At 40.2% G+C, this 27262-nt stretch overlaps 1 protein-coding gene across 3 annotated transcripts in view; it reads right to left on the reverse strand.

The window, feature by feature from the left end:
- The window catches only part of FRMD3 (FERM domain containing 3), a 342803-nt gene that overhangs the window by 298485 nt on the left and 17056 nt on the right, over nt 1–27262 (reverse strand). The window contains exon 1 of one of the 3 annotated variants that reach the window (XM_017014588.2): nt 18694–18732. The exons of the other annotated variants lie outside the window; for them this stretch is intronic. Within the exon in view, the coding sequence (XP_016870077.1) occupies nt 18694–18717 (24 nt within the window). The 5' untranslated portion in view covers nt 18718–18732. Of the gene's footprint in view, nt 1–18693; nt 18733–27262 lie in introns of those variants that run through there. 3 annotated transcript variants of the gene reach the window in all.

Raw genomic sequence — 27262 nt, forward strand, 5'->3', positions numbered from 1 at the left:
CAGCTTACCTCTCTTTAACTGTGTCCCCTGAGGGGGCATCCACCAAGATTTTCAAAGAATCATTGGCAAAGGAAGGACTGCCATCTTTGAAAAGCACCAAAGTGGCTGTTCTTTGTAGCAAGAGATGGTTGTGAAAGACACTGCAGTCAAAAGGAGCTCCCTGACTTAAATGGGAAGGATGAGAGCCTGGGCTGGCAGAAGACAAATAGTGGTGCATGACTTAACCCTCAGTGCCAGGGAGGGCTTGGTACAATCATAAGCAGTGGTACCCAAGTAGACTTCAGAATGGTGTGACTCATAGGGATTTTGCTGGTGGCCAAGCATCCAACTAGGACTCAATTTGATCTATAGGACAAACAAGATTTCTACACCAGGTGAACAAAGGCCAGGCTAAAATCCCCCTACAAATATTCCCAAATCTGAACCTGTCCCCCAAAGACAACCAGAAACATTTTTTTATTTTTTATTATTATTATTATTTTTTACCGATTGGGTCCCACTATGTTGCTCAGGCTGGTCTCGAACTTCTGGCCCCAGTCAATCCTCCTGCTTGAGCCTCCCAAGTAGCTGGGATGACAGGCAACAAACAGAGGACATTTGAGTACAGGAAAGGTGGCTCCACTTGAGGCATTAGAATGTCAGCCATAGCAGTGGCTGCAAGTCCAGTTCTTACTAAAGAAGTGGCAATGGGTGAGATTAATTAGTGTCTCACGCTCAGTGATAGTAACTGATATTCTTTACCAAAAAATATGCCTAACCAATGGGTTATAACACTTTGGTAAGCCACAAATAGATAACAGGTGGCCTGCCCACAAAAGATTGATGGTTGTAAATATTGCATCTTGAATTTTTTCATTTTAAGCACTTTTACAGCCATTAAAATTGATAACTTAAAAAGAAATATTTAGGTATAAATCTAACAAAATATGCACAAGATCTTTATGAGGAAAACTACAAGACTCTGGTGAAAGAAATCAAAGAACTAAATAAATGGAGAGCTATTCCATGTTCATGGATAGGAAGACTCAATACTGTTAAGATTTCAGGTCTTCCCAAATTGATCTATAGGTTAAGTGCAACCCAAGTCAAAACCTGAGCTAGTTACTTTGTGGATATCAGCAAACTTTTTTTAAAGTTTATATGGAAAGGCAAAAACCCAGAGTAGCTAACACAATACTGAAGAAAAACAAACTCAGATGACTGATATTACCTGACTTTAAGACTTAATATAAAACCAAAGTGATCAAGGCAGTATGGTACTGGCAAAAGAATAAACAAATTGATCAGTGGAACAAAATAGAGGGACCAGAAAGAAACCCACACAAATACAGTCAATTGATATTTGACAAAGAAGCAAAGTCAGTCCAATGGAGAAAGGATAATCTTTTTGACAAATGGTGCTGGAAAAACTAGACATTCACATGCAAAAAAATGAGTATAGACATAGACCACACACTGTTCACAAATTTTAAGTCAAAATAAATCATTGACTCACATGTAAACAATAAAACTTCTAGGAGATAACATGAGGGAAAATTTAGGTAATCTTCAGTTTGGTGATAAAAATCAACAAACATCAACACATCAAAAGCATAAGTTGGACTCAGTTAAAATGTAAAACTTTTAGGGCAGCTTCAAGATGGCTGACTGGAGACACTGATCACCCAATCTCCCCAAAAAAGAAGAACCAAAGTTAGAGGTGAAAAATCATAACTCAAAAGATTAAGAGACGAGTGTGAAGGCCTATTGGAAAATTCACAAGCAGAAGCTAGGGCACAGAAAAAAGGAGGAGGCAAGAATTTGGCAGAAATTGAATCCTGAAGGACTTGGGGTCCCATGGAAAGGGTAAGTGGGGATGTTTTGGGTTGCCCTCACCCCTGTGACAGATTGCTAGTTTCCAAACTGTTGAAGAGCTCCTCTGCCCTCACAAGCTTATGCATCGGTGTGGGCGGCAATTTGGGAATTTCTTGAGGGCACTGCACTGGGCTGTCAGCAACCCCCAAATTTGAGCTATGGTAGCGGGCACCACACTGGGTGTGCACCCATTTTGGGACTCTATCCTGCCCAGGGAATCTCAGTTCTTGTGTCTCCACATCACCAAATCCCCTGCAGACATCCCTCAGCACCCACTGAGATTGTGGCACCCACATGGGGCCAGCTGGACCCAGGAGAGCTGAGGGTCTGACCCTCAGGGCATGCTGTTCCAAGGAAAAGGCAGAGTGCAGCATGCCAAGGGAACACCTGTTAGGACAAAAGAAACCATAGAGTGTGCTCTCCTATTCCTGAGAGCTCCCCACTTCTGTGCTGAAAGTGACTGCACTCCTTTCAACAGCGACATGGGCACTGTGCTTGGCTCTGTGGGTGAAGAGTGTGGTTCTGCCATAGCAGCCAGGTGGCCCCAGTGCTTGGGCCTGGTAATGGAGATGAAGCCTCCTACTCCCCGCATAGCTGCTGCCGCCAGGGTTTGGCTTAAGCATACCTGTAGACAGCCATTCCAGGGCTATTAAGGATGACTGCATCCTTACTGGCAATGTCCCCACTGGGCCCTAGATTGTACAAAAGACAGGGCCCCTCCACCTCTGTACAGACAGTGGCAGCATTCCTGCAGCAAGAACAGGTGAGCCATAAAGCTGTCTATTTTGGGCTGAGGGAAGAGGCTCCACACCAAAGCCATTTCAGCAGAGAGCCACAGGAAAGGCATTGTCCATGTCTCTCAGCTACATTGAAGTGTCTGTCGAACTGAGTCATGAGCCCTGGGACAGAGGCATGATAGGGAAGAAGACTGCGTTTCTGCACCATGGAGCTGGTGCAGCCCCCTGACCCCCTGAGGAGACCTTTGTGCATTTCACCAGAAGCTCCCCTAAGCACCCCATCAGGGCTTGTGCTTGTGCTTGGCATTGGGTTATCCAAGAACAAGCCTGGCAGTCCAGCTTGACTCAGCTTTGGCCACTCCCCAACCCAGGGCTGAGCAGGAAACTCAGAGAATGGTGTATTCCACAGGCCAGATAATTGCCTGTGACAACACAGAGCTTCTCCCAGCTGAAAAAAAAGATCAAGTATATACCCATCTGCGTCTGCCACAGAAGCTCTTACCTTCAAGTGCCACCTACTGGTCTGGAAGTCAAACTGCACAACCTAATACAAATTTGGCTGACTCAGTGTACAGCACTAGGGACCGAGATAAGTTTCTGAAGACTTCTATCTCCGTCTTTACAGGAGACTGAGAGCCTACTCACATGCCCAGTACACCACTACTACAACCAGCATTTGAGAAAACAACCATACTAACGTTATCTATAACCAAGGAATTCATACAGAGCCTTGGCCCCCTGAAAGCACCAAGAAGCAAAGCCAAACAATCCTATTCAACATACATTACAGTCATCCTCAAAGAAGAAATAAAAAGTCTTGTCCAAACAAAAGTAAATTCAAAAATAAGAAGTGACACCTCAGAATAAGAAAGGACCAACACAACAATTCCAGCAGCATGAAAAAAAGAGTGTGTTATGATAACCTCAAAGGATCACACTAAATATCTAACAATGGATCCTAACCAAAATGAAAATTCCAAAACACCAGATAAAGAATTAAAAATATAGATTGTAAGGAAGCTCAATGAGATCCAAGAGAAAGTTGAAAAACAACACAAGGAAATCAGAAAACAATTCAAGGTATGAATGAAAAATTTACTAAGGAAAAAGATTTAAAAAATAAAAGAACATCTGGAAATGAAACAGTCATTGAAGCAATTACAAAATACAGTTGAAAGCTTTAACAATAGATTAGACCAAGAGGAAGAAAGAATTTCAGAGCTCAATGACAGGTCTTTGGAAGTAACCCAATCTGACAAAAATACAGAGAAAAGTGTTGTTTTTTTTTGTTTTTTTTTTTTTTTTTTTGAGATGGAGTCTTGCTCTTTCACCCAGGCTGGAGTGCAGTGGTGCGATCTCAGCTCACTGCAAGCTCCGCCTCCTGGGTTCATGCCATTCTCCTGCCTCAGCCTCTCAAGTAGCTAGGACTACAAGCGCCCACCACCACACCCAGCTAATTTTTTGTATTTTTAGTAGAGATGGGGTTTCACCGTGTTAGCCAGGATGGTCTTGATCTCCTGACCTCGTGATCTGCCCCCCTCGGCCTCCCAAAGTGCTAGGATTACAGGAGTGAGCCACCACACCCGGCCGAGAAAATAATTTTTTAAACGAACAAAGCCTTTGAGAAATATGGTATTATAAACCATCCAGACCTGTAAGTCATAGGTATCCCTGAGGGAGAAGAAGAAAAATTTAAAAGTTTGGAAAACCTATTTGAGGGAATAATTGAGGAAAACTTTACTTTTCTTGCTAGAGATTTACACATCCAGATACAAGAAGCTCAGAGAACTCCTAGGAGATATATTGCAAGACAAACATCACCAAGGTGTATAGTCACCAGACTGTCCAAAGTCAACATGAAGAAAAAGAATCCTAATAGCAGCAAGAGAAAACTGTCTAATCACCTGTAAAGGAAATCCCATCACACTAACAGCAGACTTCTCATCAGAAAACTTACCAGACAGAAGAGATAAGGGTCCTATTTTCAGTCTTCAAAAAAAAAAAAAAAGCCAGGCATGGTGGTTCACACCTGTAATGCCAGCAGTTTGAGAGGCCAAGGTGGGTGGATCACTTGAGATCAGGAGTTTGAGACCAGCCTGGACAACATTGTGAAATGCCATCTCTACCAAAAATACAAAAATTAGCCAGGCATGGCGGTAAGCCCCTATAATCCCAGTTACATAGGAGGCTGAGGCATGAAAATCACTTGAACCCAGGAGGCAGAGGTTGCAGTGAGCCAAGATTGTGCTACTGCACTCCACCCCGGGTGACAGAGCAAGACTGCGTCTCAAAAAACAAAACAAAACAAAAAAACTGTCAGCCAACAATTCTATATCCTGCAAAATTAAGCTTCATAAATGAAGGAGAAATAAACTATTTCCCAGACAAGCAAACACTAAGGGAATTTGATGCCACTAGACTGGCTCTATAAGAAATGTCAAAGAAGTTCTAAACATAGAGACAAAATGTCTTCATCATAAAAACACATAAAAAGTATAAAACTCACAAGTTGTATAAAACAATTACACAGTTGAGACTACAAAGCAACTAGGTAACAATTAACATTATGACAGGAACAAAGCTTCAAACATCAATATTAACCTTGAATGTAAATAAAATAAATGTTCCACTCCTGGCCAACATGGTGGAACCCCGTCTCTACTAAAAATACAAAATTTAGCTGGGTGTGGTGGTGCATACCTGTATCCCAGCTACTTGGGAGGCTGAAGCATGGGAATTACTTGAACCCAGGAGGCGGAGGTTGCACTGAGCCAAGATTGTGCCACTGCACTCCAGCCTAGCGACAGAGTGAGACTCTGTCTCAAAAAAAAAAAAAAGAGTATAGATTGGTGAAATGGATTTTTGAAAAAAAAGATCCAACAATATGTTGCTCACAAGAAACCCATCTAACTGGTAAATAAATTTAAAGACTCAAGGTAAAGGCATGGAAAAAGACATTCTGTGCAAATGGAAATCAAAAGCAGACTGGGATAGCTATACTTATATTAGATAAAACACACTTTAAATCAACAACAATAAAACAAGTTCATTATTATAGAATCAAGACGTTAGGACAACTTTAAATCAATATTTTAAGTCACTTTAAATCAACAGTTAAAAAAAGACAAAGAAGGTCATTATTATTATGTAATCATTATATAGTTATATATAATGATCATATAATTATTATTATATAATGACCTTCTTTGTCATTATATAATATAATATAACCAAAAAAGGTCATTATGATTATATAATATTATATATAATTATTATATAATCATTATCTAATTACCTTCTTTGTCTTTTTTTACTGTTGTTGATTTAAAGTGTCTGAAAGTATTGATTTAAAGTTGTCTTCTTTTACTGTTTGTCCCTATCATTATAAAATAAAGTGATCAATTCATCAAGAAGATATAACAATTCTAAATATATATGCCCCCAACAATGGAATTCTCAGATTCATAAAAACAAATATTACTAGACCTAAGAAAAGAAGTATACAGCAATGCAATAATAGTGAGAGACTTCAACAATCCAATGACATCACTAGACAGATTATTGAGGCAGAAAATCAACAAAGAAACTCTGGACTTAAATCAGACTCTAGATTAAATGGACCTAACAGACATTTATACAACATTCTACCCAACAACTGCCAAACATACATTTTTTTCTCATCTGCACATGAACAATTCTTCAAAATAGACCATACTTTAAGCAACAAAACAAGTCACAATAAATTTTTAAAAATCAAAATTATATCACTTCTCAGTCTTTTGGCTAAGATCAAGTGTAAAAATCAAAATTATATCAAATATCTTCTCAGACTACAGTGGAATAAAACTAGAAATCAATACCAAAGCAGATATGCTGATGGCAAATAAGTATATGAAACAATACTCAACATCATATCTCATTACAGAATTACAAATTAAAACAACAATGAGATACTGTGATACACCAGTTAGATGGATAAGACCCAAAACTGACACTGACAATACCAAATGCTAGTGAGAACGTGGAGCAGAGGAATTCTCATTGATCACTGGTGGAAATGTAAAATGGTACAGCCACTTTGAAAGACAGTTTGGTAGTTTCTTATGAAACTAAACATAAGCTTAGCATATAATGTAGCACCTATGCAACTAGGTATTCATGCAAATGAGCTGAAAACATTTTTGTCCATACAAAAACCTGCACTCAGACATTTATAGCAGATTTATTCATGATTGCCAAAAATTAGAAGCAACCAATATGTCCTTTAATAGGTGAATGGATACATGAACTGTGGTATCTCCATACAATGGGATAATACTCGATGATTAAAAGAAATGAGCTATCAAGTCATGAAGAGACATGGAAGAATATTAAATGCATATCACTAAGTGAAAGAAGCCAATATGAAAAGGCTACAGAATGTATTATTCCAACTGTATAACATACTAGGAAAGGCAAAACTATGCAAACAGCAGTAAAAAGATTAGTAATTACCATGAGTTCAGGAGAGTGGGTGAGATGAATAGGTGGAGTACATTTTCAGAATAGTGAAACTATTATTCTGTATAATACTCCAGTGGTGAATACCTAACATTATGCATTTGTCAAAACCCATAGAACTGTGCAACATACATAGCGAACCCTAATATAAACTATAGGCTTCTGTTAATAATAATGTGTCTATATTTTTTCATCCATTGTAACAAGCATACCACACTAATGCAAGGTGTTAAAATAGGGGAAACTGAGGAAACGGGTAGGCTATCTGGAAACTCTTTGTACATTCTGCACAATTTTTCTGTAAACCTAAAAGTGCTCTAAAAAATAGTCTATTGTCTGGTCTGAGTACAGTAGTATTTACAACTAATTGATCACAATCTGTTACAGATTTCTTTTTTTTATTTTAAGCTTGAGGGTACATGTGAAAGTTACATAGATAATCATGTGTCATGAGGGTTTGTTGTACATATTACTAGATCGCCCAAGTACTAAACCCAGTACCCAAGAGTTGTGTTTTCTGCCCTTCTCCCTCCTTGTAACCTGCCCCCTCAAGAAGACCCCAGTGTCTTTTGTTTCCCTCTTTGTGTTCATAAGTTCTTATCATTTAGCTCCCACTTGTAAGTGAGACAATGTGGTATTTGGTTTTCTGTTCCTGCATTAGTTTGCAAAGGATGATAGCCTCCAACTCCATCCATATTCTTGTAAAATATATGATATTGTTCTTTTTTATGACTGCATAATATTCCATGGTGTGTATGTTCCACATTTTGTTTATCCAGTTTGTTACTGATGGGCATTTAGGTTGATTCCATGTCCTTGCTATTGTGAACAGTACTGCCACGAATATTTGTGTACATGTGTCTTTATGGTAGAATGCTTTATATTCCTCTGGGTATACACCCAGTAATAGGATTGCTGTGTTGAATGGTAGCTTTTAGCTCTTTGAGGGATCACTATACTGCTTCTCACAATGGTTAAACTAATTTACACTCCCACCAACAGCGTATAAGAGTTTCCTTTTCTTTGCAACCTTGCCAGCATCAGTTATTTTTTGACTTTTTAATAATAGCCATTTTGACTGGTGTGAGATGCTATCTCATTGTGCTTTTGATTTGCATTTGTCAAATGATCAGTGATATCGAGCATTTTTTTCATATGCTTGTTGGCCACATATATGTCTTCTTTCAAGAAGTGTCTGTTCATGTCTTTTGCCCACTTTTTAATAGGGTTGGTTTTTTTTCTTGTAAATTTGTTTAAGTTCCTTATAGATGCTGGACATTAGACCTTTGTCAGATGCATAGTTTGCAAATATTTTCTCCCATTCTGTAAGTTGTCTGTTTATTCTGTTGATAGTTTGTTTTGCTGTGCAGAAGCTCTAAAGTTTAATTAGGTCTCATTTGTCAATTTTTACTTTTGTTGCAATTGCTTTTGGCATCTTCATCATTAAATCTTTGCCCATTCCTATGTCCGGGATAGTATTGCCTAGGTTGTCTTCCAGGATTTTTATAGTTTTGGGTTTTACATTTAAGTCTTTATTTTATCTTGAGTTGACGTTTAGATATGATGTAAGGAATGGGTCCAGCTTCAATCTTCTGCATATGGCTAGCCAGTTATCCCAGAACCATTTATTGAATAGGAAGTCTTTTCCCCATTGTTTTTGTCAGCTTTGTCAAAGATCAGATGGTCGTAGATGTGTGGCCTTATTTCTGGGCTCTCTATTCTGTTCCATTGGTCTATGTCCCTGTTTTTATACCTGTACTATGCTGTTTTGGTCACTGTAGACTTGTAGTATACTTTGAAATCAGGTAACATGATTCCCCCACCTTTGTTCTTTCTGCTTAGGATTGCCTTGGCTATTTGGGCTCTTTTTTGGTTCCATATAAATTTTTAAGTAATTTTTCTAGTTCTGTGAAGAATGTCATTGGTAGTTTGATAGAAATAGTATTAAATCTGTAAATTGCTTTGGGCAGTATAGCCATTTTAATGATGTTGATTTTTCCTATCCACAAACATGGGATGTTTTTCCACTTGTTTGCATCTTCTCTGATTACTTCGAGCAGTGTTTTGTAATTCTCATTGTAGAGATCTTTCACCTCCCTAGTTAGCTGTAGTCCTAGGTAGTGTGTGTGTGTGTGTGTGTGTGTGTGTGTGTGTGTGCATTCATGTGTGAATTGTGAATGTAATTGTCTTTCTGATTTGGCTCTCAGTTTGGTTGTTAGTGGTGTATAGGAATGCTAGTGATTTTTGTACATTGATTTTGTATCCTGGAATTTTGCTGAAGTTGTTTGTCAGCTGAAGGAGATTTTGGGACAAGACTATGGGGTTTTCTAGATATAGAATCATATTGTCTGCAAAAGGAGGTAGTTTGACTTCCTCTCTTCCTATTTGTACACCCTTTATTTCTTTCTCTTGCCTGATTGCTCTGGCTAGAACTTCCAATACTATGTTGAACAGAAGTGGTGAGAGAGGGCATCCTTCTCTTGTGCTGGTTTTCAAGGGGAATGCTTCCAGCTTTTGCCCATTCCATATAATGTTGGCTGAGTGTTTGTCATAGATGGATCTATTTTTCTGGGGTATGTTCTTTCAATACTTAGTTTATTGAGAGTTTTTAACATGAAGCAATGCTGAATTTTATCAAAAGCCTTTTCTGCATCTATTAAGATAATCATATGGTTTTTGCTTTAGTTCTGTTTATGTGATGAATCACATTTATTGATTGTTGTATGTTGAGCCAACTTTGCATCCTGGGGATGAAGCCTACTTGATCATGGTGGATTAGCTTTTTGATGTGCAGCTGGATTTGGTTTGCAAGTATTTTCTTGAGGATTTTTGTATCAATGTACACCAAGGATATTGGCCTGAAGTTTTCTTTTTTTGTTGTGTCTCTGCCAGGCTTTGATATCAAAATGACACTGGCCTCACAGAATGAGTTGGGGAGAAGTCCCTCCTCCTCAATTTTTTGGAATAGTTTCTGTAGGAATGGTACCACCTCTTCTTTGTACATCTAGTAGAATTCAGCTGTGAATCCATCAGGTCCCAAGCTTTTTTTGCTTGATAGGCTATTATCACTGATTCCATTTTGGAGCTTGTTATTGGTCTATTCAGGGAATCAATTTCTTCCTGGCTCAGTCTTGGGAAAGTGTATGTGTCCAGGAATTTATCCTTCTCTTCTAGATTTTCTAGTTTGTGTGCATAGAGGTGTTTATAGTAGTTTCTGAGGGTTGTTTTTATTTCTGTGAGGTCAGTAGTAACAGTCCCTTTGTCATTTCTAATTGTGTTTATTTGGATCTTCTCTTCGCTTCTTAATTAGTCTAGCTAGTGGCCTATTTCATTGATTTTTTTCAAAAAAAAAAACTCCTGGATTCATTGATCTTTTGAATGGTTTTTCGTGTCTCAATTTCCTTCAGCTAAGCTCTGATTTTTGTTATTTCTTGTCTTCTGCTAGCTTTGAAATTGATTTGTTCTTGCTTCTTCAATTCTTTCAGTTGTGAGGTTAGGTTATTACTTTGAGATCTTTCTAATTTTTTGATTTTGGACATTTAGTGCTGTGAATTTTACTGTTAACACTGCCTTAGCTGTGTCCCACAGATTCTGGTATGTTATATCTTTGTTCTCATTATCTTCAAAGAACTTCTTGATTTCTGCCTTAATTTCATTATTTACCCAAAAGTCATTCAGGGGCTTGTTGTTTAATTTCCACGTAATTGTATGGTTTTGAGAAATTTTCATTGTGTTGATCTTTATTTTTATTGTACTGTGGTCTGACAGTGTGTTTGGTATAATTTTGGTCCTTTTACATTTGTTGAGGATTGTTTTATGTCCAATTATGTGGTCAATTTAAGAGTATGTGTCATGTGACAATGTGAAGAATATACATTCTGTTGTTTTGGGGTGAAGACTTCTATAAAGGTCTATCAGATCCATTTGGTCCAATGTTCACTTTAGGTCCTGAATATCTTTGTTACTTTTCTGCCTCAATCTAATACTGTCAGTGGAGTGTTGAAGTCTCCCACTATTATTTTGCGGGAGTCTCTGTATCTTTGTAGGTTTCTATGAACTTGCTTTAGGAATCTGGGTGCTCCTGTGTTGGGTACATATATATCACATATATTTAGGATAGTTAGGTCTTCTTGTTGTATTGAACCTTTTGCCATTATGTAATGCCTTTCTTTGTCTTTTTTATCTTTATTAGTTTGAAAACTATTTTTCTGAAATAAGGATTGCAACTTCTGCTTTTTTCTGTTTTCCATTTGCTCCGTAGATTTTCCTCCATCCCTTTATTTTGAGCCTATTAGTGTCATTTTGGGTGAGATGGGTCTCTTGAAGACAGCATACCATTGGATCTTGCTTTTTTATTATTATTATTATTCAGCTTGTCACTCTAGTTTTTAAGAGAGACAATTAACCCATTTACATTCAAGGTTAGCATTGACATGTGTGCATTTGATCCTGCCACTATGCTGTTAGCTGGCTGTCATGTTGGCTTGTTAGTGTGGCTACTTTACAGTTACTCTGGTCTGTATGTTTTTGTATTAGCTAGCAGCAGTTTTTCCTTTCTATATTTAGTGCTCCTTTCAAGATCTCCTGTAAGGCAGGTCTGGTGATAATGAATTCCCTCAACATTTGCTTATCTGAAACGATCTTATTTTTCCTTCACATAAGAAGCTTAGTTTGGCTGAATATGAAATTCTTGGTTGAAGATATTTTTCTTTAAGAATGTTGAATATAGATCCCCAATCTCTTCTGGCTTGTAGGGTTTCAGCTGAAAGATCAGCTGTTAACCTCATGGGGTTCCCTTTGTAGGGGACCTACACTTTCTCTCTAGCTGCCTTTAACATTCTTTCTTTCATTTCAACCTTGGAAAATCTGAAGATTATGTGTCTTGGGGATGATCTTCTTGTGTAGAAGAAGGTGCCCTTTCAGGGGTGCCTATGATTCATAAATTTGGCCTCTTTACATAATCCCATACCTCTTTGAGGTTTTGTTCATTCATCTCTTTTTTCCCTTTATTTGTGTCTGATTGTCTTATTTCAGAGAACCAGTCTTCAAGTTCTGAGATTCTTTCCCCAGCTTGGTTTATTCTGCTGCTAATACTTGTGATGGCATTGTGAAATTTTTGTGTTATTCAGGTCTGTCAGACCCATTAGGATCTCTTTATACCAGCTATTTTGTCCTTCAGCTCCTGTACCACTTTATTGTGATTTCTGTTCTCCTTGGGTTGGGTTTTGTCATCTTCCTGAATCTCAATGATATTTGTTCCTATCCATATTCTGAGTTCTATTTCTGTCATTACAACCAGTTCAGCCTGGTTAAGAACTCCTGTTGGAGAACTGGTATGGTCATCTGGAGTACATACAACATTCTGGCCATTTGAGTTACTGGAGTTCTTGCATCGGTTCTTTCTCATCTCGGCATGTGGGTGTTCCTTTAACTGCAGTGTAGATTAAGTACAGTCAATAGACTTCTTTTCTGAATGTTTTCACTGGGCCAAGGTTTTGCGTAGTGGCTTTATTTGAAGCTGACTTCTTATCTCTAGTTTCATAGGGGGGTATATTTGTGAGGTATTTTTGGTTTTGAAGCTTTGGGGTGTGATCCAGCAAATAACACTTAGGCTCATCGGTCAGTTTGTAGACTCTTGCTTAATTGTGTGGCTCCCCTATGTTTCCTCACAGTTGCAACTGTGTTCCCTCTCAGTGCTCTGAAAGTGTGGGTTCCTCTCCACCTTCAGTGCTGGCTGTAATCACAACTTAGCATTCATCGGCTGCTCACTGCAGCTCTGGTGTGATCTCAGTGTTTATGTTCCTTTCCCAGCTAAGAGGCAGCAGAGGAAGAGATCTTAGTAGTGGTTGTGGCCAAGGGTCATTTGCTTGACTCCTGGGGATCCACCCCAGAGAGATGCTGGTCAGCAATTGCTCAATGCAGTCAGCACAAAATGAACGGTTTGTGCTGTGGGCCCAAGCCAATGTTTCCTTGTCTGGTGACAAGCCATGGAGGGTGTGTGGGACCCATGGGAGACAGACTGGCCTCCTCTTCTTGGGTCGATTGCAGCTTGATGGAGATGTGGATAAGACACTTAAAGTCTTTGCTCCTTTGTTAGTCTGAGGGCAAGGGCAGTTCCACTGCAGAAGCAGTGGAAGAGAGGCTTTTGGTTGCCTCCGGAGGCTGTGTCCAAGGAGTTGCTGAACTGGTACTGGCTTGGTAGCTCTGGTGGCAGGTGGCTGGAGGCCCAGGCCTGGAGGACCTGCCTGGTGAGGAGATATGGGATCAGGCACCCACGTCACAGTCTGGTCACTTTTCTGTGGAGCTACTGTGGTATGTTTGGGGCCCATTCCAGTCCCCAGCCACCTGGGATTTTCTAGAACCTCGAGGTATCACAAGTGAATGCTGCAAAATGACAAAGATAGCAGGCAGCCTGTCCCTCCCTCTGGGGGCTTTGTCCCAGGGAGGTACAAACCTTTTGCTGGCCCAAAGCCACCTATAAGAAATGGCTGCAGACCCCAGTTAAGAGGTCCCATCCAGTGAGGAGGAATGAGATTAGGACCCACTTAAAAAAACAATCTGGCCACGTTTTGGTAGAGTACCTGTGCTGTGCTGGGGGTCCACTTTGGCCCCCAGTCACCTCAGACACTCCAAAGCCCAAAGGCTGGAATGGCTAAGTCACTCAAACAGCAAAGATGGCGGCTCACCCCTCTCTCTGGGAGTGCTGTCCCAGGGGGAATTAAGATCGCTGTTGGCTGGAGAGCTTGGGTGGGAGTGGCTGGAGGCCCCAGTTGGGAGGTCCTACCCAGTGAGGGGGAATGGGATCAGGCACCCACTTAAAGCAGCAGTCTGGCCAAATTTGGTAGAGCACCTGTGCTGTGCTGGGGGACCCCTTCAACCTGGGTTGGCTCAGACTCTCCAAAGCCCCAAGGCTGGAATGGCTAAGGTACCCAAACAGCAAAGATGGCAGCCTCCCCCTCCCCCTAGGAGATCCTTCTCAGGGAGGTGCAATGCCACTACTGGTAGCCAGCTGGAGTTCCAAACCAGTGGGTCTTATCTTGTGAAGTGTCATGGAATTAGGGCCTGCAGGCTATTACTGCTCAGCCCCCTGGATTCAGCCTCTTTCCTATGGGTAGGTACAGGAATCTAACCTCCCACTTTGCTGGAGCTGCAGCTACTTTTGCAGGAAAGCCCAAGTATCTAAGGCTCCAGGGTCTCCAGGCATGCTTGAGCAGCTGCTCTGCCAAGACTCCACATAGCTCTGTCTGTCAGACTGAGGACTGAAGGCCCTGATGGAGTGGGTTCACAGGGAGATCTCCTAACCCAAGGGTTGCAAAGATCTGTGGGAGAAGCGTGGTTTCCCGGGATCGGTCATTCACTTCTTGGTCTAGGGAGGATCCCCTGGCTCCATGTTGCTCCCAGGTGAGCTGTTGTCTTGTCTTGCTTTTCTTCATTCTCTGTGGGTCAAACTGTTTCCTTGATTAGACCCAATGCCCAATGGACGTTTCCACTGAAGGTTTTGTATTTACTTGCCCCTTCTGTTCCTTTCCATGACAGCCACACACACACTATCTACCTCTAGTCAGCCATCTTGGCCACTCCCCTACAGATTTCTTTGTTCCCTCTCCACTCTTCACTGCTTCACTAGCCTTTTGAAAAAAAAAACAAAGAAAAATGGTTTATTAAAACATAACAATTGGAAATATTTTGAACATGATTTACATGGCCACCTTCTGTGAAATTCCTGAATTCAGCAAATATTGTTTTGGGTCATATAACTCCATGCATTATTGACCTACAGCCAGCAAGCTCTTGACAATAGCCATACACATAGTACATGTCTTTGGCTTGCCCATTAGATCATCCCAATTCATCTGATGGTTAATTTAGCTATAATTTGGTTATTGTCAGAGAAATTATATTTGTCTTTCAGATGAATATAAAATATTTCGTTTTCTTTCCTAATTAATTTGCTCTTTTCACATTTTTTACTAATGTAAAAGATATTTTGGCCTTTCATTCTGGATATTATTTGCTATTAAATGACTGATTTTTTATGAATTCTCTCCATTGTTGTTTCTCAGTTTTTAATTTGCTTTTGGAATTTTCAATTAGCCAATTTTAGATTCTTGTTAGAATTTATTTGTATTTCTAAAAATAATAATAATAAACATTACTTAATTCAACTTATTAAGAGATATTTGAGGCCCTTACAACATCAAGAGATTCGTTTTTCAAAATATTTTAGGATATATGAGGATTGTGATATTTATATTTTGTATAACTTTTTGAGATTTTTTCCTTATTGAATTAAGTAAAAATTAAAGTTTCAATAATTTTTATCTTGTCTCTGAATATTTTATTCTTTAATTTTTGAAATAGTTTATTTTAAAACATTCTTAAGAATGAAAATGACTTAAAAATATATTGACCAAAAGATATTCTGAAGCTATGAAGGTCTCTAGTCCCAAGGAATATTTTATATTTAAATATTTACTTTTTATGCATATTTATGAAAAGCTTTTAAATTAAATGTTAAGAGCTATCAGATTCATGAGACAGACAAAGCAATAAGAAAAAGAGTTTGAATTACCAATTAGGTAATTTATAAGGGCTGTCTCAAATTTTGATTTATCTGCTGATAAGTCTTCTCTTCCAAGGCATCATATTTGCAGTTATCAAATGAAGCAATGGCGCCATGCAAACTACACCATCACCTCAGCCCTACTTCTACACATTAAATGAAAAAATTATTTTTATGCATCTACATGCACAAAATAAGAAGTAAACTTCTTTTATGACATTGGTAACAACAATACCAGAGCACTGGTTACAAAGTTATGAAAAAAAATTGCTGAAGCTAAAATGCCACACAAATGCAGAATTGTGCTTTTTATCTGCCTGCATGGAAATTGTCAACAGCCTAATTGGGACCACTGGAAGCAAAAGAAAGAGAAAGATGTCCCCCATCAGATAACAGGATTAGCAGACACATGGATGACATTTCGTATAATGTAGAAATCACACTAACTCAGAAGATTCAGAAGATTATCAATTGATTGGTATAAGTACAGATATGAGTAACTCTATCAATTTAGAGTACTAATTAGAAGGCCCAAAGAGAAATTATTTGTTCCAGAACCAAAGTGCTAAATCAAACTATTGCAGATGAATTATTTGAGGTAAGAAATGAAGATCTGGGGGGAAAAACGAAAAGAAATATGATGGAAACACTGCAGGGGGTTGTGCACTCAGGATTTGTTTGCAATGTCAGGAAGATGTGAAGGCCCTATACAACATGGATTTTATCTGAAACCCTGAGATTCAAGTAACACATGTTGTTTATTCATAGAGAAGCTCTCATATGTAAATGTTTGCCTATGGCTCTAAATTGCACATTGAATGATGAAACTAAAATGGTGAATCTAACAAAATACAAGCTCTTGGGGTCCATCTGGTTTCAGTTTTCAGTGAAGCATGAGATCAGAGTATCACTCTGTTTTTTATATCAGAATGTATTGGCATTCAAGGCAAGAGAGCTGTCAAAAATACATGCACCAAAATAAGAACTTTTTGCAAACAAATCTCACCTTGCAGATTTGTTGAAGGATAGTCTTAGCTTAAATACAGTAGCTTAACTAACATTTTTGTGCATCTGCATTTAAATTGAAAATTAAAAATTTTTTGAATTTAAAAATGTGTAAAACGCATGCACGTGTGTGTGTGTGTGTGCGCGCGCGCACGCACATGTGCATGTGTGCGCCTGTGTGTGTGAATTAACAATCCTTTATTAGGGATTGAAAGCAAAATGCCAAATTTGGAGAAGTAAAGTGAAAATGGTTCACATGTGATGATTAGTCAATTTTATTAGTGAATTGTTAAGATTAGTATGCTGACATCTGTATGTGCTGAAGAAAAAAAGCTTTGACTTTATTTGTAAATACAGGCATACTTCACTTTATTGCTCTAATGGAGATATATGTGGAGATGAATGTTGTTTTCATGCCTCCTTAGACAACATCCATTCTGCCACCCATGGATCAAGGAGTAATTTAGACTTTCAGGTCTTATTATTTAAGAAATCCATTTTGTAAGGCTATTGCTGCCATAGATAGTGATTCCTCTGATGGATCTGGAATAATAAACTGAAAACTTTCTGGAAAGGATTCACCATTCTAGATGCCATTAAGAATATTTGTGATTCATGGGAGGAGGTCAAAATAGAAACATTAATAGGAATTTCAAAGAAGTTGATTTCAATCCACATGGATGACTTTGAGGAGTTCAAGACTTCAGTGGAGGAAGTAACTGCATGTGTGGAGGAAATAGCAAGAGAACTAGAATCAGAAGTGGAGCCTGGACATTGACTGAATTACTACAATCTCATGAGAAAACTTCATTAGATGAGGAGTTGCTTCTTACAGATGAGCAACAACAACAAGAAAGTGGATGCTTGATATGGACTTTACTTCAGGTGAGGATGCTGTGACCACTGTTGAAATGGCAACAAAAAATTTAGAATGTTATATAAAGTTAGCTGATAAAGCAGTAGCAGGTTTTGAGAGGATTGACTCCAGTTTTGAAAGACATTCTATTGTGGATTAAAGGCTATCAAACAGCATCAAGTACTACAGAGAAATCTATCAAGAAAGGAAGAGTCCATTGATGCGGCAAACTTTATAGTTGTCTTATTTTAAGAAATTGCCACAGCCACCCCAAGCTGTAGCAACCACCAGCAAAAAGATTATGACTCACTGAAGGCTCAAATAATCATTAGCATTTTTTAGCAATGAAGTATTTTCAATTAAGGTATGTACATTGTTTTTTAAACATAATGTTATTGTACATTTAATAGACTACAGTATTCTGTAAACATAACTTTCATATGCACTGGGAAATCAAAAAATGTGTGCAGCTTGCCTTATTGCAATATTTGCTTTATTGTGGTGGTCTGGAACCAAACCCACAATATCTCCAATGTATGCCTGCACTTGACTAGACAAAATGTAATTGTGTTAAGTTGACCCATATGTAATTGCCATTTTCTAGGTGAAGGGTGCCCTAATATTGGCAGTTCCATATGTTTCAACCTATCATTTAAAATCTATCACTATACGTGACAAACTTCCGCAGGACTTGAAAGTAGCCATTTCAAGTATAAATCTTGATATCTAAAAGAAGTTATACATAAATTTGTCAAAAGTCATAAAATTATACACTTTAAATGATATTTCTATATATAAATTATACCTCAATAAAATAATTCAGATCATAGAAGTGAAATTGTTTCTCATTAAAAATTAAAAATATTTTATTTAGAAGTTTAATACTTGTTCAATATTTATTTCCTAATATCTTATATTTTATCTATCTTATTATAATCTTATTATAAGTATATACAGAGTTTTATCACTAAGTCCCATGCTGATGGCCACAAATTCCTTCCAATGCATCCCCGTGTGCTTTACACATTCTATAAATGACAAGAAATGAAAAGGTTGGATGTGGCAGAGATTTCTAGCTGTCCACCAAAATACATTATCCTCTTCATTCATAAAATGTGAATTGAATTATGGTTCTGGATTATTCATTCTCTAGCTGTATTAAAATTACACATCCATACCTTGGCAGTGCGAGTTTGCAGCATCTCCCAGTAGAACAGGCAGCGTATCTTCCCTGCCCTGTTGATGTTGGACTTGGTAATGTGACTTGCTTTGGCCACCGGAATTTAAGTGAAAGTGACAGTGTGCTGTCACTTTCTGGGCTGAGTCTCCAGAGGCATCAAGCATCTCTGCTCATTCTCGTGCACTTCTATTATAAGAAGAACATGCCCCAAAGAGACACTGCCCTTTCAGCCGGGGCCCCAGAACAAATGTACATGGAGCCAAACTAACACCCTGGCATCATGCCCAACCAACCTGTAGCCTTAATCGGAGCCTTCCAGTTCAGCTTAGGTTAGATCAGCTGAACAACAGCCAATGTGCACATTTGTGAGAGTGAGAATAAATGCGTGTTGTTTAAAAGCCTCCAGGTTTGTAAGTGGTTTGTTACACAGCATTAGGGCAATGACAGCTGAATTACACTCACACCAATTAAGCTGTTGTTGGATACATGGCTGCCTTATCAGACTACATGTGCCTCACAGTTAGGTGTTGACATGTGACTAACTTCTTACCAATGAAATATAAGCAGAAGTGTTACATGTCACTTTCAGATCCAGGCAAGACCATTAATGTGCCTCTTCTGTCTTCCCATTGGCTAGGACCAAGATATGGAAGCCACCCAGCTTTGATAACCTATATGATGACAATGCCCTTAGGGATGATAGAACAATGACTTTGAAAGATTCTTGCTCCCTAGATGACTGCAGACCTAACTGCTCACCTTAGAACTGAGATGAAAGAAAAGTAAGTTTCTATATTCTTTGAGCCACTATATTTTGAATGTCTCTTACAGCCACTTATTTTTATCCTTAAGAATGAAGTTAGGAAACACTTCCTTCTCTGAGAAGTTCCATGGTATTATTCTTGGAAATTTAACCCCAAGTTTGCTTTTCTGGCAATGACTCCCCCTGCCCAGTGATTTTGTGAGCTACACCATATCTTTTTAATGTTACTTCTTTTCTGCTAGTCAGGTTCTGGTGACATAACAAACAAACAGAAGATATAAGGAAAGACAGAAGCACTGTGAGCCTTTCCTGTCAAATTCAGCTTTAAAAGCTTCTAACATGTGTGATGGCCAAGCTCTTGCTGAATTTTTTTTACATAAGGCTTTCCAGACACCACTGAGCCTCCCTTCCTCATCCTCTCTCTCTCATTCAAGCTGATCTAATCCCTTCAGCTCTTCATTCAACAATCATTTACAGGGCGGCTGCTATGCACCAGACACTGGGGTATAAAGACAAATGAAAGTGTATTGGTCAGAAGTTACTAGGTATGCTGCAGTAACAAATAGCCCTTAAATTTCCATAAATCCTAAATAGCCCTGAAATCTGCAAATCCTAAACAATTTATTTATTGCTTATTCTACATGATGATCACATGTCAGCTTCCATTCAGGAACCAGGCTGACAGAACAACCTGGAATACTTGCTAGTCATCATGGCAAAGGGCAAAATGAAAGAATATGGCAAACCATATGCTGGCTTTTAAAGCTGCTGACTCAAAATGATTCACATCACTTAATAAGCCAAGGAAAGTCTCATGGAAAACCCTGACATGAATAGGGTAGGGAAATAGAGAAGAGCATGTATATTTGCAAACAAGAACAGAGTCTGCCACAAGGAAGAGCCCAGCCTGCCCTCTGTTCCTCTATGCCACCACACATCTCCTAGATACTTCTCTATCTGCACTCTCTAAGCTGCACCACAATTCACTGTGTATGTGTCCATACCTCCTCCAGTGCCAGAAGCTCCATGAGGCAGGGAACATATCTTATGCATCATCCAGCCCAGCACAATGCCTGGTACAGGGTATATAATTTATTCTATTGTATATTTGGAGAATAAAGGAATAATGAGTGGATGGGATCAAATTGCTCCTGGTCTTGGGAGGGTATGAGATAGGAAAGTGAACACTCACAGAACGAGCTAGCGGGATATTTAGGGAGTAAAAATGGAAGAATGACAACTTAGTTAGGTTCCTTCACCCAGAAGATAGAAGATCTCGCACAAATTGGGATTAGATTGTTTATAACAAGTAGTTCCTTAGACGCGGTATCCTTGACTACTTGAAATTTGTTGCCAATCTTTGAAAGAAGGTAAGGGAGAGGGAAAGTGAAATCGCACTAACTGTGCAAAGATGGAGATGCGAGAAGCTGACTACAAACCCCAACTGACCAAGGTGGCTATAGCAGCTGGAAGGACTCTCCCTTGAACATGCAGTCAGCAAGCTTACCACTGGGAGATGATCTGAAAGCTTAACAAAAATGGAACTCCTAGGCAGACTACCACAGGTCATTCAAAAGCTATGCCCAAGGTGACTTCAACCAGAAATAAATGCAGGAACATACGTTTCTCGGCCGGGCCACCTGGGACTTAGTTCTGTTCTACACCTTAGCTGTCCTGTTCACCACACGTGGCTCCAAATAACCTTTAGCCATTTCCAGATATTGAAGCCAATCTCTCAGGGCAAGAATTTGCTGTCACCGAGCCACAGGCTCTGTGAAAGAAGGGTTTTACCCTTTTTTATGACAAGATATCAATGTTAAACTTGCAATACTAATAGAATTATGGAATGTCAGAATTGGCAGAAACTTAAAAGTCAAAGGCTTAGATCCTTTCATTTCGGAGCTCTGGATTCTAAGTTCCTTGAGGACAGAAACCATGTCTGGTTGTATGGCCAATGCCCCCCCCCCAGCACAGAGTTTCACCAATAAATGGTGTTCAATAAATGTTATTGAATGAGAGAAGAGCTGAAAAGTAAGTAATAGTGATTAAATGAAAAAAAAAAAAAAGAATGAGAGGCCGAATGAATGAATGCAATGTGGAAACTGAGACGCAAAGATACGCAGTATTATGCCCAAAATTACACAATGACTTAGAGCTGCAATTAAAAGCCAGGTCCTCTGGCATCTAGGATAGAGTCTTTTATGACAGAAGGAGAATTAAGCACCTTCCCAGTTCAGGGGCTTCCCAAGTTGTTTTCTTTCAGCCCCCTACCCCTACACCTCCCAGGATATGTCTGGGGACTTTCCCTTCACTCCACCCTCACCTACTGCGTGTCTAAGACTCCACACCACTTCCTTCAGGCATGCAGGTGTCCTGGGTGAGTGCAGAGTGGGGGACTGTTCTCCCAGTGTGACAGCCCTGCTAAGCAGCCTCTGAGTAAAGGGTTGGTGGCAATGGAAGTGAGGGCTTGACTAGACCCCAACAAAAAGCTGGGTTAGCCTAGTCCCTGGGCTCCAATGATAAATGATGCTCTCTGGAGTGTGTGGATGCTAGCTGGGCTCCCAGCTGGCTTGTGGGTGCTCAGATCCAGCCCACAGTGCCCTCCAATTGGCCCTCACAGGCAACCATCCTTCCTCTGGTTCCATTACCATCTGTTCTCTTAACACCTCCCACTCCCTCCTCCAGCTAATCTAAGAGCAGGAATCCCTCCTCGCCCTCTCAAACATTTTAACTACTCCTTGAGTCCTCTCCAGCTCACGTAGGACATGCTTTTGAAATCTAAAGCCAGGAAGAAGATGTCTTTCTGCTGCTTTCTACTAAAGAGGAAAAAAATAATGATGGGGCTGGGGAAGACTGGTCAATACCTCAAAACATTATCCTACCACAAGATGCCTGGGGATTTGCAGAGTACTCTCACCTGCATTACTTTACAGGCATAAGAATATGTCTTTAGAAGGTGACTTCAAATGATTTGCTTGTATAAATTCAGACATGTTCCCTTAAAATTCGTCTCCTGGCAGTATTCTTACCTTACAGTGCCAAGTCAGTGTGCCCACCTCATCACCATGGGCCCTTCCTTCATCTGTATCAGTGTAAAGTTTGTTGCCATGATATTTAAAGGAATGTTCAGATTTCAACCCCATCTTCTCCCTCCAGGAGTCCCAGAGGCTGGCCTCTCTCTAGGCCAATCCTCAAGCATCTGGTAAGTATAGTGGCCATATCAAAGTGGAGACCATTGGGAAAAGTTTGTTGACTGACTTTCTGAGAATATTGGCAATTCAGCCAATTTAAAATAATAATAATAATAATAATAATCCCCACTGCTGTATACACCTCCAACTATCTCCACTTACTGCCTAAGCATTCCTCTCCAATTGTAGTCCACCTAACTAGGAAGAAGGGGAAAGAGAGGGAGGAGAATTTTCTAAGTCCCTAATATATGCCAAGCTCTAGGGAAGTCACCAATGTCAAGGCCAACAGCCTCAATCTCTCCTTGTTGTTTGCATATTTACGTGAATATTAAATTCTGATTACAACCACACTGTCTCAACCTGACACCTGAATATGGAAAGCCCAACTGAGAACAATATGTGCATGTTTTCCTAAATAAAGCAAATCAAAAAACTGAGTCCGTTATTCTGATATCTTAGGGAAAGAGTATCTCTGGTCTGCTTCAATGATCCAAATCTTGTTGTGATGTGGTCCATGTTGAATTGCCAGATATTGGTTTGTAGAGGGAGACATATGCCCACATGTCCATTGTCCATACTCAAGAGCTAGCCCTTCAGTCATAAGATATCCCTGATTGCTGGCACAAAATACAAGTGTTTCTTAAAGAACCTCTGCTTCTCTTGCCAAGGCAGGAGGTGAGGAACCTGTACGACGTGCATCCCAGGAAACATGCAGAGCCCACCATTTGCTTTTTAACCCCAGGAGGCCATAAGATGGCATAGGCTGACCAACTTGGGGCCACTGAGCAGGCAAAAGTTCAAAAATAATCACCTCAAAAGGCAGAGGCAGCAGATGTCAGAAACACATTCTATTTAATGCTTTTTGGCTGCCTGGTGGGAGCTAACTGGCAGTCAGGCTGTCAACGCCAGTGATATTTAATTTAATTTTTCCCATGAAAACACTGTGGGGACTCATTAATCCAGAGAGCCCATTTCCTGGGAATAATAATGAGATTTTACCAGGTACACAATTGTTCCAGTTGCCTCCCTTACTTCATTATTCGCTGAAGTATTCCAGAGACCACTGATGCTATTTTTGATCTGGAAGTAAGGGGCAGAGTCCACTGAGCCAATCACATAGGGAGACACTCCTGTCCTTAAAGTGTTCTCTGGACCCTGCCAAACCAGGTCATCTCAAGCACGTAAGACTTAAGGTCAGAGAGTTTCTATTGATGTGGATGCCACTTTGGTTTACTAAAGGCGCATGCTATAGTTTCAGAATAAGACTGTGAAGAATGACGGGATCTGGAGGAAGTTGTTTATCCAGAGCTGAAACATAAGGAAGCCAATTTCAAGGGTGGGGCATCCACCCTCAGAACAAGACTCTTCTTCTTAGAGCCTCATTGTTAGCCATGAATCTTGGGCTACTCAGATGGACCCAGTCACCCAGGGTTCCCTCTCCTGAGACACATTTACACCTGCAAAGATACTGCCCGTAGCGCCCTGTCAAAATCTGACTGTCCCAGTCCCATTTCTTCAATGTCTGCCTGGTGACTGAGAAGTCAATCAAATACACTGATTAGTAATAGAGAATTAATGGATGATAATTACTTATGTGTTGTCCTTCCAAATAAAAATAATAATATGGATTCAGCTGAAGTTTAAGTCTTAACCTGAATTTTCCAATTACGGGAATTTTAGGCAATACGGCAGGCCAGTGGAGAAATTTGAGAAAGGAGTTAGGAAATTGGTCTCCTTTTGCATCAAATAAGCCACTAGTTATTCTGTTAACACTTAGAGCTGGCTCTGCATACTCCCATCTGGGAAAGGAGGAGAGTCTATTAAGTTGGGTGCTAAAGTATGATTTACAATAAAAAGGCCAAAAAAATTGAAATGGCCATATGTTAATCTTGGGGAATCTTGCACAGTTACTGACATTATTATGCGGAGTGTATTAATCTGTTTTCATGCTGCTGATAGAGACATACCCGAGACTGAGAAGAAAAAGAAGTTTAATTGGTCTTATAGTTCCACATGGCTGGGGAGGCCTCAGAATCATGGCAGGAGGTGAAAGGCCCTTCTTACATGGTGGCAGCAAGAGAAAATGAGGAAGAAACAAAAGCAGAAACCCCTGATAAAACCATCAGATCTTGTGAGACTTCCCCACTCTCAGGAGAATAGCATGGGAAAGACCAATGCCCATGGTTCAATTACCTTCTCCTGGGTCCCTCCCACAACATGTGGGAATTCTGGGAGATAAAATTCAAGTTGAGATTTGAGTGGGGACACAGCCACACCATATCATTCCACCCCTGGCCCCTGCAAATCTCATGTCCTCATATTTCAAAACCAGTCATGCCTTCCCAACAGTCCCCCAAAGTCTTAACTCATTTCAGCATTAACCCAGAAGTCCATAGTCCAAAGTCTCATCTGAGACAAAGTAAGACCCTTCCACCTATGAGCCTGTAAAATCAAAAGCAACATAGTTACTTCCTAGATACAATGGGGGTACAGTATTGGGTAAATACAGCCATTCCAAATAAGAGAAATTGGCCAAAACAAAAGGGCTACAGGGCCCAAGCAAGTCCAAAATCCAGTGGGGTGGTCAAATTTTAAAGCTCCGAAATGATCTCCTTTGACTCCAGGTCTCAAATACAGGTCACACTGATGCAAGAAGTGGGTTCCCATGGTCTTGGGCAGCTCCGCCCCTGTGGCTTTGCAGGGTACAGCCTCCCACCCGGCTGCTCTCACGGGCTGGCATTGAGTGTCTGAGGCTTTTCCAGGCACACAGTGCAAGCTGTTGGTGGATCTACCATTCTGGGGTCTGGAGGACGGTGGCCCTCTTTTCACAGTTCCACTAGGCAGTGCCCCAGTAGGGACTCTGTGTGAGGGCTCCAACCCCACATTCCCCTTCCACACTGCCCTAGCAGAGGTTCTCCATGAGGGCCCTGCCCCTGCAGCAAACTTTTGCCTGGGCATCCAGACATTTCCATACATCTTCTGAAATCTAGGCAGAGGTTCCCAAACCTCAGTTCCTGACTTCTGTGCACCCACAGGCTCAACACCACGTGGAAGCTGCCAAGGCTTGGGGCTTCCACCCTCTGAAGCCACGGTCAGAGCTAAATGTTGGCCCCTTTCAGCCACAGCTGGAGCAGCTGGGACACAGGGCACCAAGTCCCTAGGCTGCACCAAGTCCCTAGGCTGGGACTCTGGGCCTGGCCTACAAAACCACTTTTTCCTCCTAGGCCTCTGGGCCTGTGCTGGGAGGGACTGCCGTGAAGTTCTCTGACATGGCCCAAAGACATTTTCCCCATGGTCTTGGGGATTAACATTAGGCTGCTTGCTACTTATGCAAATTTCTGCAACTGGTTTGAATTTCTCCTCAAAAAATGGGTTTTTCTTTTCTACGGCATCATCGGGCTACAAATTTTCCAACTTTTATGCTCTGTTTCTCTTTTAAAATGGTATGCTTTTAACAGCACCCAAGTCACCTTTTGAATGCTTTGTTGCTTAGAAATTTCTTCTGCCAGATACCCTAAATCATCTCTCTCAAGATCAAAGTCCCAAAATCTCTAGGGCAGGGGCAAAATGCAGCCAGCCTCTTTGCTAAAACATAACAAGAGTCACTTTTGCTCCAATTCCCAACAAGTTCCTCATCTCTATATGAGACCACCTCAGCCTGGACCTTATTGTTCATATCACTATCAGCATTTTTGTCAAAGCCATTCAACAAATCTCTAGGAGGTTCCAAACTTTCCCACATTTTCCTGTCTTCTTCTGAGCCCTCCAAACTGTTTCAGCCTCTGCCTGTTACCCAGTTCCAAAGTCACTTCCACATTTTCAGGTATCTTTTCAGTAATGCCCCACTCTACTGGTACCAATTCACTGTATTAGTCCAAATTCACGCTGCTGATAAAGACATATCTGAGACTGAGAAGAATAAGAGATTTAATTGGACTTACAGTTCCACATGGCTAGGGAGGCCTCAGAATCATGGTAGGAGATGAAAGGCATTTCTTACATGGCAGCAGCAAGTGAAAATGGGGATGAAGCAAAAGCAGAAACCCCTGATAAACCCACCAGATCTCATGAGACTTATTCACTATCACGAGAACAGCAGGGGAAAGATTGGCACCCAGGATTCAATTACCTCCCCCTGGGTCTCTCCCACAACACGTGGGAATTCTGGGAGATACAATTCAAGTAGAGATTTAGGTGGGGACACAGACAAACCATTTCAAGGAGTATGTAGAAATATGACAAATTATGTATTAAATTAATTGGGGAGATCAAAATAATATCTATATTAAAATTGTAGATATTTTTAAAACACATATCAAGTACCACTTTGCCTTTAAAAAGAGAGAAATCTTGTCATTTGCAACAACATGGATGAATCTGGAAGATATTATGCTGAGTGAAATATGCCAGGCACAGAAAGACAAATACTGCCTGATCTTACTCATGTGTGGAATCTAAAAGAAGGTGAACTCAAAGAATTAGAGAGTAGAACAATGGTCACCAGACGCTGTGGGGTGGAGAAGAAGGGAATGGAGAATTACTGATCAAAAGGTATAAAGTTTCAGACAGACAGGAGGACTAGGTTTACTGCAATTAAGATTACTATAGTCAAA

This window comes from Homo sapiens, chromosome 9 (assembly GCF_000001405.40).
Source record: "Homo sapiens chromosome 9, GRCh38.p14 Primary Assembly".
NCBI lineage: Eukaryota > Metazoa > Chordata > Mammalia > Primates > Hominidae > Homo > Homo sapiens.